General features: G+C 40.0%; 1 annotated feature.

Moving 5' to 3' along the window:
• Positions 5,802–5,996: a silencer, noted in NCBI's record as "fragment chr3:31068205-31068399 (GRCh37/hg19 assembly coordinates)". NCBI's record gives its function as "represses an EF-1alpha promoter that drives an FKBP-Casp9 reporter gene in an ReSE screen in K562 erythroleukemia cells {active_cell/tissue: K562}" and the evidence as "EXISTENCE:reporter gene assay evidence [ECO:0000049][PMID:32094911]".

Raw genomic sequence — 15,301 nt, 5'->3', positions numbered from 1 at the left:
AAAATCCCAGAAGGTTATTTTGTGGACATGAACAAACTGATTCTAAAATATGGAAAAGGAGAAAATTCCGAACAACTAATATAGTACTGAAGAAGAACAAACTTGACGGACTGACACCACATGACTTCAAGGCTTACTGTAAAGCTACAGTGATCAAGACAGTGTAGTATTGGTGAAAGGGCAGACTCATAGTTCAATGGAACAGAGTGGAGAGCCCAGAAATAGATACACACACTAATATAGTCAACTGCTGTTTGAGAAAGTAGCAAAGGCAATTTAATGAAGAAGGAATTGCCTTTCCAATGAATGGTGTTGAAAAACTAAATCTCTACATGCAAAAAAAAAAAAAAAAGAGAGAGAGAGAGAGAGAGAATCTAGATAGATCTTATCCTTTTCACAAAAATTAACTTTGAATAGATCTAAATGTAAAATGTAAAATTATATCACTTATAGAAGATAACATGGTAAATCATCTAGGTGACCTTGGGTTGATGGTTAAGTTTTTAGACACAACACCCAAAGCATGATCCATGAAAAAAATAAGTTGCACTTCATTAAAATTAAAAATTTCTGCTTTCTGAAAAACACAGTTAAAAGAATGAAAAGACAAGCAACAGACTAGGAGGAAATATTTGCAAAATATATACCTGATAAAAGACTTGTGTCAAAATGTATAACAGATAAAGAACTCTTAAAACTCCACAATAAGAAAATAAGCTACCCAATTAAAAAGTGGGCAAAAACATTTAAATAGACTCTTTACCAAATATCATATGCAGATAGCAAATAAGGATATGAAAAGATGCTCAACATCTGTTGTCATTAGGAAATTGCAAATTAAAACAACAAAGATACCACCACACACCTATTAAATGGTGAAAATATAAAATATTGATAACCTCAAATGTTGGCAAGGATGTAGAATAGGAATTTAATGTTCATTCCTGTTGGGAATACAGGATGGTGCAGCCACAGTGGAAGACAGTTGGGAAGTTTCCTGCAAAGACAAATGTAGTCTTACCATGTGATTCAGCAATCACACTTATTAGTATTCACCCAAATGAGATGAAAAGTTATGTCCACACAAAAACCTTCACACAAATGTTTATAGCAGCTTTACCATAAATGCTAAGAACTGGAAGCAACTGAGATGTCCCTCAATAGGTGAATGGATAAACAAACTATGGTATATCCACACAATGAAATATTACTCAGTGATAAAAAGAACTGAGTTATCAAGCTATGAAAAGACATGGAGAAACCTTACATGCATATTACTATAGAAAAGAAGCCAGTCCTAAAAGTTTAAATAGTGCATGATTCCAACGGTATGATATTCTGTAACAAGTAGACCTATAGAGACAGTAAAAGATCAGTGGTTGCCAGGGGTTCCAGGGGAGGGAAGAGGGTTGAATAGATAAACCACAGAGGATTTTTAGGACAGTGAAACTATTTTGTATGATACTGTAACAGTGTATACGTGACATCATGCATTTGCCAAAACCCATATAATGAACAACACAGAGTGAACCCTCATGTAAACTATGGGCTTTAGTTAATAACAATGTTTTAATATTGGTTTATGCATTGTAACACACTAAATACAAGATATTAATAATAGGGGAAACTGTGTGCAGGGGAAGGGGAGAGGACATTTATGGGAACCCTGTACTCTGCTCAATTTTTCTGTAAACGTATTTTTCTTGAAACAAAAATGCAAGTAGTGATTGCATTCACTTTTTCCCACTTACAGCTATGTATATATGAGATTATTTCTTAATTTAGTAAAATATTAACTTTAGAAGAAAAAATACTTTAATAAACCAGCAAGGTATTATTATTGACCACGATCTCTGAATGAGTGAACTAAATTTTTCCCAGTGAGTGAATGGTGAAGCTTATTTCTATCCCAACCTGAGTCTACAGCTCACCTTCTCTCTGAAGCATTAGCAGTGTCTTAACTTCTGCAGCACTTTAATGTTTATATTTCTGTGCTACACTTTTAGCATTTTAAAAAAATCTTCTGCCTTTATTTTTTGATGTTTCATGTGGTTAACCTTCACTTACTGAATGGATGGATAATGATGACCTCATACTATGTGCTTGGCACTCTTCTAAACATGTCATGTGTATTACCCCATTTAATCATCACAACAATTCTATAAGGAATATAAGATACCGGCTCCATTTTACAGAGGAGGCGACTGAGACCCAGAGAGCTTGCACAAAGTTATTCAACCAGGAAACTGCAGAGTGGGAATTAGGATCCAGGGTGCTTGGTCTCTCAGACACATGACACTGCCTCAGATCAGTGATTTTCAATCTTTACAATGACCTGGGCTATTTGTTACGAATATCAATATCTGCTTCATTTTAGGCATGAATCAGTGGGTTTGTGGTAGACCTAGAAATCTGAGATTTTTGCAGACCCCCTAGGTGATGCAAATATATGGTTTTTGGAGCACTCTTTGAGATACTCGGAAGCTTAATAAAGGAGAAAAAAATAGGCACTGAAGAAAAAATATAGGTGAAGAAAATTGTGGATGTACCATCAGCCCCAGGAGCAACAATATCAGAGACCAGAAACTGGATTTATTGAAATCAGTGGGAATGGCATTTGAATTATACAGCAACTAAATCCTCCTCATGACTAAATGGTATGATCCTGGTAAGGAGGTGGTGTAATCAAAGGAGGAAACATTCATGCTGAAGACACACAGATTTATGGCTCTGAGATACACTCTCCCCACCAATCATCAGAGGACAGGAGAGAGGGAATAGCACAGCTCAGTGATCAGGAGGCCGTTTTTCTGACCATTGCGACTGGGTGACAGTGCTGAGGAGCCTGACAGCCTTGTAGTAATGCTCAGGAATCCGCAGTTCCCTGATGGGCCTGGGTCTGGCTGCCTCCAACACACCCAAACAGCAGCAGTCATTTGTTTCCTGACAGTACCTTCAAGTTTGATGTAAGGGGGTTTCTATTACATGGCTGGACATTAAAGAGGAGGGAAATTCATGTGAAGTCTCTGTAAGGAGTGGCTCTTGGCATGAAGCAGGCAGCCAGCTAGATACTGGCATGCAGTGGGCTGCAGGCTGACCAAGGATGCCCTTTGGAGGAAAGAATGTAGTGGCTGAAAAAACGTGGAGGTGTTGTCAGCAGTCCAGAGGCCAGAGAGTTCATCTGATTTTATCTGTTCTTGTTTTCCAGGATAATCTCTTGTTGGCCTGAATAACCTCTCACCAGGAACTTAAACTTCCTAAAAAATATTAAAAGAAGGCTGGGCATGGTGGCTCATGCCTATAATTTCTGAGCTTTGGGAGGCTGAGGCCAGAGGATCCCTTGAGGGCAAGAGTTTGAGACCAGCCTGGGCAACACAGTGAAATACCATCTCTACAAAATAAAAACATCATTTAAAAAAATTAGCCAGCTGTGGTGGCATGCACTTGTGGTTCCAGTTACCTGAGAGACTGAGGCAGGAGGATTGCTTGGGCCCAGGAGTTTGAGGTTCTAAGCAAGCTATGAGTGTGCCACTGCTCTCCAACCTGGACATCAGGGTGAGACCTTGTTTCTAAAATAAATAAACTCAAGAGTTTAGAAAAGCAGAGTTTATAAAAATTCAGATGCCCAGGCTGTAACCCATACCGAGGAAACCAGAATCTCTGGAGATTCATGTGTCAGTATATTGTAAAACTATCCAGCAGATATCAAAGTGTATCCAAGTTTGAGAGCAAGTCAGTTATATGGTAACCTTGCCAAAGAAAGTTCTGGCTGTCCCTTTTTAAAACAATTGGGAAACTCTTATGTAAGCTTTAACCTAAAAAACATTGTTGGAATTTAAAATCATATCTGCCTTAAAAGGAGAAATAATTCTATTTAAACAACAGGGCACAATCCTAGCTGCTCACTAGAATCATCTTGGTAAATTAAAAAAAAAAAAAAGCCAAGACTCCAACCCAGAACACTTAAATCAGGACGTCAAAGTGTGGGGCTTGAGGTGCAAAGTGATTCTAATGACACCCAAGGCTAAGAGCCATGGTGGTGCATGGAAGATGTTCCTTTTGGGAGTTCTACTGAGCTTAATGCTGCTGAAGGAGGGGGTGGGCCCTTGATCCAGGTGAATATCTGACTGAGCTTTGGTTATGCATAGCAAAAGCTCATTCAGGATCTTGCAATCCTGGCATTGAGTACACAATAAAAGTACCACCCCTTATTAGCTAATGGTGAAGTCTGGGAGCCAAACTGGGTACACAGTTCTAAGATAGTCATTTTCCTTTTGCCACTTTGAAGTTGCCAATTCATTATCTTCTGGCCTTCAGTTTTTCTGATGAAAAGCCTATAGTTAGTCTTCTCTTCCCCTTTTCCTCTGTATGTAATCTGTCTTTTGTCTCTGGCTGCTTACAAGATTTTCTCTATCTTTGGTTTCCAGCAGTTGACTGTGAAGGGCTTAGGTGGAATTTTGTTTTTACATTCTTTTGGCGGGTACATTGAGCTTTTTGTATGTGGCTTGATGTCTCATATTACTTTTGGAAGATTCTCAGCCTTTAGCTCTTTAAATGTTTATTTGGCTCCATTTGTTCTTCTTATACCTTCTGAGACTCCAATTACATGTATGTTAGACCATTTGATATTGTTTTATAGCATTTTTAAAAACTTTTTTTCTATGCATTTTGGTCTGATAATTTTTCTTGGCCTATTAGGGTAGTAGTGGTCTCTTAAGACTTTCCACATTCTAACTAGGGGTAGAAATATTTTCGCTAAGCAATATTACTTGCCTCATTCTATAGACAAACAGAGATATAAAAAGTTTGAGGTTTGAGTTACTTTCCAGATGTCACATAGTTAATATTTGTCATTCAAGGTATGTGAAATATAATGGTTATAGCCAGTTTTTAAAATCTATTATAAATGTGCTTAAGAATCTCATCATCTTTCAGATATTCCACAAGTGATTGCTATTGAGGAGGATTATATGATTCCCTGCCTCCAAACCAGATGGGTATTTCCTATTCCACCCATGATTTCAGTGTTGTAAACCCTCCAATGGAGAGATCTTTTTTGATTCAAGTACTGAGATCTATAAGCCATTAACCACAGACTTGGGTCAACACTTCCTCTTAAACCGTACCCTGTATCCACATCTCTGTATTTTTTTTTTTAAAGATGATTTTATGTAAATCTACACTTCACTTGGTGGCACCAAAAACTTTATACAAATGGAAGGTGTCACTGACAAAGAATAATTAGAAACAAGTGACTCCTTTCTCAGATGTGAAAGTGGCAAGTTTCCACTCCAATGTCCCAAGCCCTGCCTGTGTCTACCAGGCACCTGTAGGCAAATCACCAGTGCAGGAGGAGGCTTGCCAGTAGCCCTTGTCTCAGTAAGGATCTATGAGTAGCTATTTAAGGAGCAAATGCTGGCCAAAGTGACAAAACTTCTCTTCAGGAAAGCATTACCATGTGTGTTCTTTCATATACCCTAAAGCCAAAGTCTCACAAATTTGGCAAGCTGAGAAGGACTGGAATATGACTGTTATTCTGTAAAACTTATTTTTCTTTTTTCTTTTCTTTTTTTTTTTTCTGAGACGGAGCCTCGCTCTGTCGCCCAGGCTGGAGTGCAGTGGCGCGATCTCGGCTCACTGCAAGCTCCACCTCCCAGGTTCACGCCATTCTCCTGCCTCAGCCTCCCGAGTAGCTGGGACTACAGGTGCCCGCCACCAGGCCCGACTAATTTTTTTTTGTATTTTTAGTGGAGACAGGGTTTCACCATGTTAGCCAGGATGGTCTCCATCTCCTGACCTCATGATCTGCCTGTCTCGGCCCCCCAAAGTGCTGGGATTACAGGCGTGAGCCACCATGCCCAATCCAAACTTATTTTTCTTCTAACATTTTTTCTCCCCCAGACCTTCTTATATCCCTCTCTAATTTGAGTTTACAGTCATTAGAGATTTATTCTTTTACTAATTGATGCTCTGAGGCCCTGTCCTATGCCATGCTCTGCTCTAGGTGTTGAGACATTAACGGGGGCCAGATCAGTGAGGTTCCTGCCCTCAGAGAGCCTTCCTTCTGATGGGCAAACCAGCAATGCACCAATTAACATGAGAAAGACTAAGATAAGTTCCTATGGTGATAAGGGCTTTGAGGAAAGTAAAGTAAGTTGTTTGGGGCAGGCCTGGTGGCTCATGCCTGTAATCCCAGCACTTTGGGAGGCCAAGATGGGCGGATCACCTGAGGTCGGGAGTTTGAGACCAGCTTGACCGACATGGCAAAACCCCGTCTCTACTAAAAATACAAAATTAGCGGGGCGTGGTAGTGCCACGCCTGTAATCTCAGCTACTTGGGAGGCTGAGGCAGGAGAATCGCTTGAACCCAGGAGGTGGGGGTTGCGGTGAGCCGAGATTGTGCCATTGCACCCCAGACTGGGCAAAAAGAGTGAAACTCCATCTCAAAAAAATAAAAAATAAAAAAATAACTTGTTTGGGGAGCAACTCAGAGTGAGGAGTATGAATTCAGATTAAGAAAAAATAATCTATGAATCTTAAACTGAAACTAAATAAGAAACTAAATGATAAAAAAAAAAAAATCTATGAATCTTAAACTGAAACTAAATGATAAGAAGCCAGTCTTGAAGATATGGGAGCAGAGTATCCAGACAGAAGACACATCAAGTACAAAGGCAGGAGAGGACTTGGTGTGTTTAAGGAATAGGGATAGAGACAGTGTGGGTAAAGCATGATGAACAATGGGGAGGGGGTGAAAGACAGAATTGGAGAAACCGGCAGGTCTCCTCTAGGCTCTGGTAGGCTGTGGCAAGGTATTTGGATATCATTTTAAGAAGCCATTGGAAGGTCTGAAGAACTGAGTGACATGATACTATTTATATTCTAAGAAAGTTATTCTGGCTGCGTGTGGAGAATGGATTGCATTGGAGGGGAAGTGGAGAGTGGGGTTGACTAAGGCCTATTGCAGCAGTAGAGCCAAGAGGCCAGTGTGGCTGAGGTCAGGGTGGTAGCAGGGGCATGAGAAGTCAATGAATTTGAGAAGTAGTTCAAAGGAAAATCTAATGGATTTGTTGTTGGTTTGCAGGTTTGGAGGTGAGGGAATAAGAAGTTAAAGGAAGCAAAGAGGATTTCAGATTTCAGGACAAGGGATTAGGACTAGGACTAGTGGCATTAACTGAAATAGAACCTGGGTTGGAAGGGAATTTGTGTGTGTGTGTGTGTGTGTGTGTGTGTGTGTGTGTGTATGTGTGAGTGAGAGAGAGAGAGATGGAGAGAGACAGACTCTCCTGGTTTCTTTCTAATCCCACAAGCCTGTCCTCAGTCTTCCTTGCTAACTCCCCCTCCTTTACTTGACTTCTAGATTTTGGACTGCACTGCTGGAGATCAGTTCCAGGCCATGTGCAAATCTCTCTCTATGAAAGAGAGAGAGAAGGAATCAAGAATTTTGTTTGACCATGTAAAGTTTCTGATGCCTTGTAGACATCCAACATGTCAAGGAAGCAGCTGTCTATATGGGTTTGGCACCAGAGGAGTGGTTGGTATGAAAGTATCAATTTGGGAGAGTCTTTGGCACAGCCATTGGTCTTAGTAAGATCCCAGAGAGCATAGAGGGAGACTTGCACATAACCTAGAGCTGATCCCCAGCAGTGCCATCCAACATTTGGAAATCAAAAGAGGAGTTAGCAAAGAAGATTGGGGAGGGGCTTGTGGAATTGGAGAAAAACCAGCAGAGTCTAGAATTACTATGGAAAACCAAGAGAAGGAAGTAGTCCAACAAGGAAAGAATGGTCAACTGTATTGAGCTAAAAGGGTAAATGAGATGAGACTAAAAGAGTGACTATTGGCTGGGCGTGATGGCTCACACCTGTAATCCCAGCACTTTGGGAGGCGAAGGCAGGCGGATCACAAGGTCAGGAGATCAAGACCATCCTGGCTAACACGGTGAAACCCCGTCTCTACTAAAAATACAAAAAATTAGCCGGGCGTGGTGGCGGGCACCTGTAGTCCCAGCTACTTGGGAGGCTGAGGCAGGAGAATGGCGTGAACCCAGGAAGTGGAGCTGGCAGTGAGCCAAGATCGCGCCACTGCACTCTAGCTTGGGTGACAGAGCGAGACTCTATCTCAAAAAAAAAAAAAAAAAAAGAGTGACTATTGTATCTGGAAATAAGGAGGTTACTGCTGGCCCTAAGAAAAGCATTGGCCTTCCTTAAATTGGGGTATATTAAAGAAGAAAAATGGAGTGTCAAAAATGGAGACAAATTATGATGAAAAATGACAAAATGGGACAGTAGCTGGAGGAGGATATGAGATAAATTAAGGGTTTGCCTTAAGTATGTTTGCTGATGGAGAAAGTCCCCTGGATGTAAACTGATGATGTAGGTGATACAACAATGAAGGAGCAGAATAAAAGACAGTTCGTGCTTGAATCAGAAGGAAAATGAGAGAGTGGAATAGGTGTGGATATATAAAGATGGGAAACTTTCTGTCTAAGTGCTTCTATTTTCCTAGTGATCTATAGGTAAAAACATAAACTGAGGGAGTGTGAGTGGAGGTTGATGACTTTTGATTGCCTCTGTGTGAAGAAGAGTGGAAACCACATAGCCATGGACATGGGCATTTTACTTCACTTTAAGAATTGACACAGGCAGTCATTTATATAAGGGCATAGGTGGGGTGAGGATGATTCTGAGTGGGGAACATGAATTGGCTTTAAGCCTACTGAGGAACCCACCTGACTGCTAATGCAAGCAGAGAACGGCATTGCATAACTCTGCATAACGCTGGGGACTGGGGAACCTCTAGGATGACTGTAGTTGATATTCCTGTCAGCTCAGTAGAATTAGAACTTAGAAGCAGTGCCAGCACGGTGTGTTCTGTCAGAGGAGAGCTAAGAATCAATGCAACCCCCATGAGAGGACTCTGTGCAGGAGATGGGAAGGCCTGTGGTCCCCTGGTAGGATTTGGCAATGTTGATAGCTACTTTTCTAGTTCAGGCAAACTGAAACCAATTTTCTACAAAGGCAGAGGTCTTAGGGTCTGAATGGAAGCTGTTGACCCAGCCAGGGCTGCCTTGAGAATGGTCAGAAACATCAGCCTATATGGGTGGAAGGAATGGGCTGAGATTCCAAAGATACATGTGGTTCTAGCAAGATAGAGTAATGGATTTGGGTGCGAGGCAAGGGTGAGTGGAGCTTGGAGACAATTCCCTGAGTCAGTGGAACAGGAGGAAGGGAGGCTTTTAAAGGATGGTTGTCCATGTGAAGGAAGAGAAGTGTTAGGCGTGCTGAGTTGTTTCAGATAGACAAAAGTGAGGCAAGACTACTTTTCTAGAAGGATTCCTGGGGAGGACGTGGGTTTTGAGAACAGGAGCCAGAAAATAGAAACAGATAGTAAACTCAGAAAAAACTAGTTAGGAAGGGGTAGGAAAGAGTTTCTGGGGCCAAGATCCAGGAACTGAGAGGATGCTGACCTTACCAAAGTTGAAAGATGTTTGCAGGCTTATGAATCAGTTAGGCCTAACCCATTTGGTCTATGATTAGAAGTCGAGGTTCGCTACTTGGCACCATATGAACTTGAAGCTTAAGTCTGTGAAGAATAAGCCAAATTCAAAAATATTCCTCAGCTTGGCCATAAATCTTAAAGCTGGAGCTATATCCAGTAGCCCCACTGTGATACTAAAGCTAAATTATACATTGAGTCCTAAGCTTGGAATACTGTGATTTTTCTGTCTCAGACAGGTGTTCATTAAAGGTCACTTGGCAACCCCTGAAACATAGACTTTCACACTTTAATAGCTGACAGCTTGAACTCATTTCCCTCTGTCAATGCTCTGGATTTTGGCTTCAGGCTCAAAGTTGGAAACATGGGGAAAAATGACTCTGTTTGTTACTATGTACTTGGTAGTTCTTTTTTTCTAATTTTTTCATTATGAAAGTGATAGATTGTTATTAAAAAGGTGAAGAAAATATATAAAAACTGGAAGTGTAAAAGCATTCCCAGTTCAATCCATCCACCGAACTTAGTTATTTGTTAATATTTCAGTATTTTCCTTCTAGTCTTGCTTTCTACATAGAGAGGCATTTCTAACTTAACTAAGGTCACACTGGATACATGATTATATACCCTGAATTTTTATTTAATCTTATGTCATAAACATTTTCCAGATGAGCATATTTTTAAAAACTTTTAATTTGAAAAATTTTAAAACTACAAATTGCAAAAATAGTACACTAAACATCCATTTCTCTATATTCATCAATTGTTAATATTTTGCAACAGTTGCATTATCTTTATCTTTACTATATATACAATATTATTAATATTTTTTCTTTTTCTGAATCATTTCAGATTGAGTAGAAGACTTTATGATCCTTTATGCCTAAACATGTTGGCGGGTATCTCCTAAGAACAAGGCATTCCCTGTATAATAACAAGGGTGATCAGATTTAGGGCATTTAATATGGATATCATACAAATTTTTATTTAAATTTTGCCATTTGCTTCAATGTCTTCTATAACAATGTTTTCCCCAACAAGATTCTATCAAGTGTAGCACATTGAATTTAGTTGGCACGTCTCCTTGGTCTCCTTTAATCTTAAAGGGCTCCACAGTTGTCTTTTGGTTTGTATGAATTAACATTTTTTCAGAGTATAGGACTGTTGTTTGGTAAAATGATGCTAAATTGGTATTTATATGATTATTTCTTCATAAATAAAGAGTCCACTAGGTGTATATAGCATGATTTACCTAAAGATTAATGCATAAACTTTCTAGTTTCCATTTGTTTTATATTATAAAGTTGTGATGAACTTTTACTTAGAGTGTTTTAGGAAATGTTTCTTTAACATGAAGTCTTAGAGACCATCTGTAGTCCCAGCTATTGCTTGAGCCCAGGAGTTTAAGTTTGCAGTGGGCCATGATCACACCACTGCACTCCAGCCTAGGTGACAGAGAGAGACCCTGTCTTTAAAAGAGTTGTTTTCTATTTCTTTAAAGATAAGCTCTCAAGGGTGAAATTCCAAGTTCAAAGTACAGGGACATTTGGAATGCTCTTGATACTTTGCTAAATTGCTTTCCAAAAGGGTTGTGCTGGCCTACAATGGTGCTCAGAGAGGCCTGCTTGAAATATTTGTTCAAAACAAGCTCTGTCCATATATTCTACATTATTTGAAATTTCTTTTCTTCTTTACATCCTATTGACTTGTTTTACAGGCATCAGATTTCCAGAATTCTTCCCTTAACCTCAGCCCTGTGTACTGTACTTTACGTTTTGTTTGTATTCTTAATAATTAAGATTTTTGGCTGGGCGCAGTGGCTCACGCCTGTAATCCCAACATTTTGGGAGGCCAAGGTGGGTGGATCACCTGAGTTCAGGAGTTCAAGACCAGCGTGGCCACCATGGGGAAACCCCATCTCTACTTAAAAAAATACAAATATTAGCCGGGTGTGGTTGTGAGTGCCTGTAATTCCAGCTACTCAGGAGGCTGAGGCAGGGAGAATAGCTGGAACTTGGGAGACAAGGGTTGCAGTGAGCCGAGATCACACCACTGCCCCACCAGCCTGGGTGACAGAGCAAGACTCTGTCTCGAAAAATAAAAATAAAAATAATAATAATTAAGATTTTTTTTCTTGAACTCTAAATATTAGTCTCATTGTCATTGAGCTCATAAAATAATCACATTATAGAGATGGGAAGGAGTTCGAATGTGCCTGTATATTCAACCTACCCAGAGAAACATTCATTTCACCCTACCTACAGCCACATGACATCAGGGTGATCAAAGATTTGGATGTGGTTCTCTTAAAACCCTCTATGACAGACGTAGTTACTGCTAGATAAATGTTCACATTCCCAGTCCCATTGCAGAAAATCTGGGTCATATGATTAGTTCTAATGAATGAACCACAAGTAGAAGTGATGTGTGTCATGTCTTTAATGAAAAATTTAATAGTGTGTGACCTCCTCCTCCTCATCCCTCAGCTCTCTACCCCTTTATCTGTGATTATGGAAACCACGTGCAGATATGATGGGGTCAAAATGTAAGGTATACCCTGCATTGTCGAGGTCAGCCTACCTGAAAGATGGTTGCTTGGGAATTGGCTAAAGATGGTAATACAGAGGATTTATGGATTAGCCACAATGCTGCCATGGATACAAGGAGGAAATGGGGGAGATACGTGCTCTCTCTAATTAATGTAGAGTAGGCATAAAGAAGAGATCAAAATTTCATGATAATTCAAGATTAAAATTTTTCCAAGTTGATGTTACCTTTTTGGAGTTTACCTGGTGATATTCAAAATAAGGCCTTGAATTAAATTAGGCATCAACATCGTGATTCTATAGAAAAGGAAACTGAGGCTAATGACTTGTCCAAGGATCTGACTCCAAAACATGTTCTCTTTTCTGTTATACCCTCCTGAGCAGAAACTCAATGAATGCAGAGCATAGTCAGTAGTAGAAATACTTAGCAGAGAATTAGAAACATCTTTCTTCAGTCCAACAAAATCCCAGGGCAAAACCTACCATTACTTTTATTTCTTTGTAATTTTGAAGGAAATACAAAGTACATAAAGAAAAAAAAAATGGGAGCAATATAAAACCGCAAAAGCCATGTTTTCTACTAGCTTACGGGATTCCAGTTCTTTCCTCAGATGATGTTCCTGGGAGTCAGGAAAGGAAAGCCTGGATTCCTTTTAATGTCTTGTAAAAAGCTAGAAAATTTATCATTTTTTCTGATATTTTTTCTAAATATAGACAATACATTCATGCTTTGCGAGATGGTCATCTGCTTTTTTTTCTTCTCTCAAAGAAATGATTATCTCCCTACCTTTGTCAACATTTGTAAGCTGTGCTCTTAACTTATTAAGAGAACTATACAGTTAAGGGCCTCATCTATTTTTCTGTTATTTCATCTAGTCACTGGTTGAGAGAGAAGGCAATTGAAGGCAAATGTCCCTTCTTGCCTTTTGAGTTCAGCGTACTTCAAAAGTTCTTTCCAAAGTGATATAGTTGCACTGAGCCAGACATTACGCACATAACGAGACTCTCAAAAAGGCTGCACCTGACAGTCCATGTAGCAGGAGGACATCGGCATGATGGGAGCCCATTGAATGTTGTACAAGCACAATTTCCATGTGAGAGCTTTTCATTGTTGTGAGTGGACTCCATACCAACTGTAAACTTAGATCTCATTTAAGGACAGTACATTATAGGAGTACAGATGTTCAAGAGGCCCAGCAGACAGCTGCACATGTTGGAAGTTGAAGATGAGGAATGCCATATTGCATATCTCCAAGAGCATAGATGACCAGTTTGTATGGAAGAGAAGTCAGAGCCTATGTGTCTGTAAGTGAGGACACTTGCAGACATCAGTTTAAAGGTATCTGTTTCTCCTCATGGGCTTTGATTTGCAATGATTGTGACAGATTCCATTATTGGTCAGCAAATATTTCCCACTTCTGCCACTTCCATGAGAAGGATATATATACTTCACTGTCCCAGTGGTATTGGGCTTGGCTAGGATGACTTGATTTGAGTTGCCATGTGCAAATTCCAAGCCTAGTCTTTAAGAGGCATCATATGTTCCCTTTGTCCCTGTTGCATTTCTGCCATCACCATGAAAAAGATACCCCCTGGGTATCCTGCTGGTCCTAGAATAATGAGATATATGGAGCAGACTGGGACCTGACTCATACCCTGAGGCCAAATTCTGCCTGGTCCAGCCTGGATTGGCCAAACTCCAGGTGTATGAATGAGAAATAGGTACTTATCATATGTTGCTAAGATTTTGTGGTTGTGAATAGCATGGCAACAGCTCATTTATTCACTGATTAAAGTTTGTCTGCCTTTTCCCAAACTTACCGGCTTATGGATACAGACAGGGTCACAGAACAATTAATATCTCATATTTTGTTCATTGTTGCACCTGCTTTTTCCCCAAAGGCTCAGCTCCCTGCCCCAGATATTTATGAAAACCTCCAGGGACTGAATGTGTAATCACAAACCACGTCAGAGCAGCTTCACTCATGTCTTCCAGACATCCATAGCATCTTGCCCAACGGGAACTGGTGTTGCCCTAAGTACATGAGCTTAGGTCAGGGCTATGTCCACATAGAAGAGCTGAAAATGAGCCTTTCCCCAGTCCGTGTGATAATTTTGTCATTAGGGCCCTGAAGCAGTACTATATATGTCTGTGTGTCATGGATGGCTTATGAAAGTGAGCTGTTTAAGTTTAGCAATATATGAACAGGTATGACTTGCCTGTGAGACTGCTGTGTGCAGCTCCTACCATCACCACTTACTAATCCCACCAATTGAACAAGTTGCTTCACCTCTGCAAACCTCAGTTTTCTCATCTGTTACATGTATTAAACATGTCTATTACCAGGGGTTTCTCTGAGGATCAAATGAGAGAATGCATGCCAAATGTGCAGCATTGGAAATACTCAACAATGTTGGTCATTATCTTCTCTCCCCTGTTGAGATTTGTAAAAGCAGTCATTAATTGCATTCCTCCTATTCTACCTATTTCTAATCCAATTTAGGAAAGCACAAAAGAAGTAGTTCGCACAGTGATCCAGAGGTTCGGCTCTGGCAGCAGTTGGCCTGGGTATGACCTTGGACAAGTTATGTAACATTTCCTGCCTCAATTTTCTCAACCACTAAGTGGAGATAATAACAATATAAGTTTCCTATTGCTGCAGTAACAAATTCCCTCAGACTCAGTGGCTAAAAATACCACAAATTGATTATCTTACAATTCTGGAGATCAAAAGTCTGAAGTGAGCCTTACTGGGATAAAATCAAGGTGTTTGCAGAGCTATGTTTCCTTTCTAGATGTTCTAGGGGAGAATCTGTTTTCTTGCCTTTTCCGGCTTCCAGAAGTCCCCTGTATTCCTGGGCTCATAGGTCCCTTCCTCCATCTTCAAAGCCAGCAATGATCAGTCACAAGTGTTTCTCATGTTTCTTTACTCTGCAACTAACTCTTCTGCCTTTCTTTTCCATTTTTAATGACCTCTGTGAGTACACTGGGCACACATGAATATTCTGATATAATCTCCTTATCTTAAGGTCAGCTGATTAGCAATCTTAATTTCTTAATTCCCCTCTTGCCACGCTATGTAATACATTCACTGGTTCTGAGAATTAGGATGTGGACATCTCTGTGAGCCTATTATCCTGTCTTACTATGTACCTCATAGGATTTTAGATGATTAAATGAATTAATACATGTAAACCATTTGGAATCAAGTCCGGCACATAATAAACATTATCTAAGGATTGGCTATTAGTATTTTCAC

This window comes from Homo sapiens, chromosome 3 (genome assembly GCF_000001405.40).
Source record: "Homo sapiens chromosome 3, GRCh38.p14 Primary Assembly".
NCBI classification, from domain to species: Eukaryota; Metazoa; Chordata; class Mammalia; order Primates; family Hominidae; genus Homo; species Homo sapiens.
This window is presented reverse-complemented; position numbering and strand designations above follow the sequence as displayed.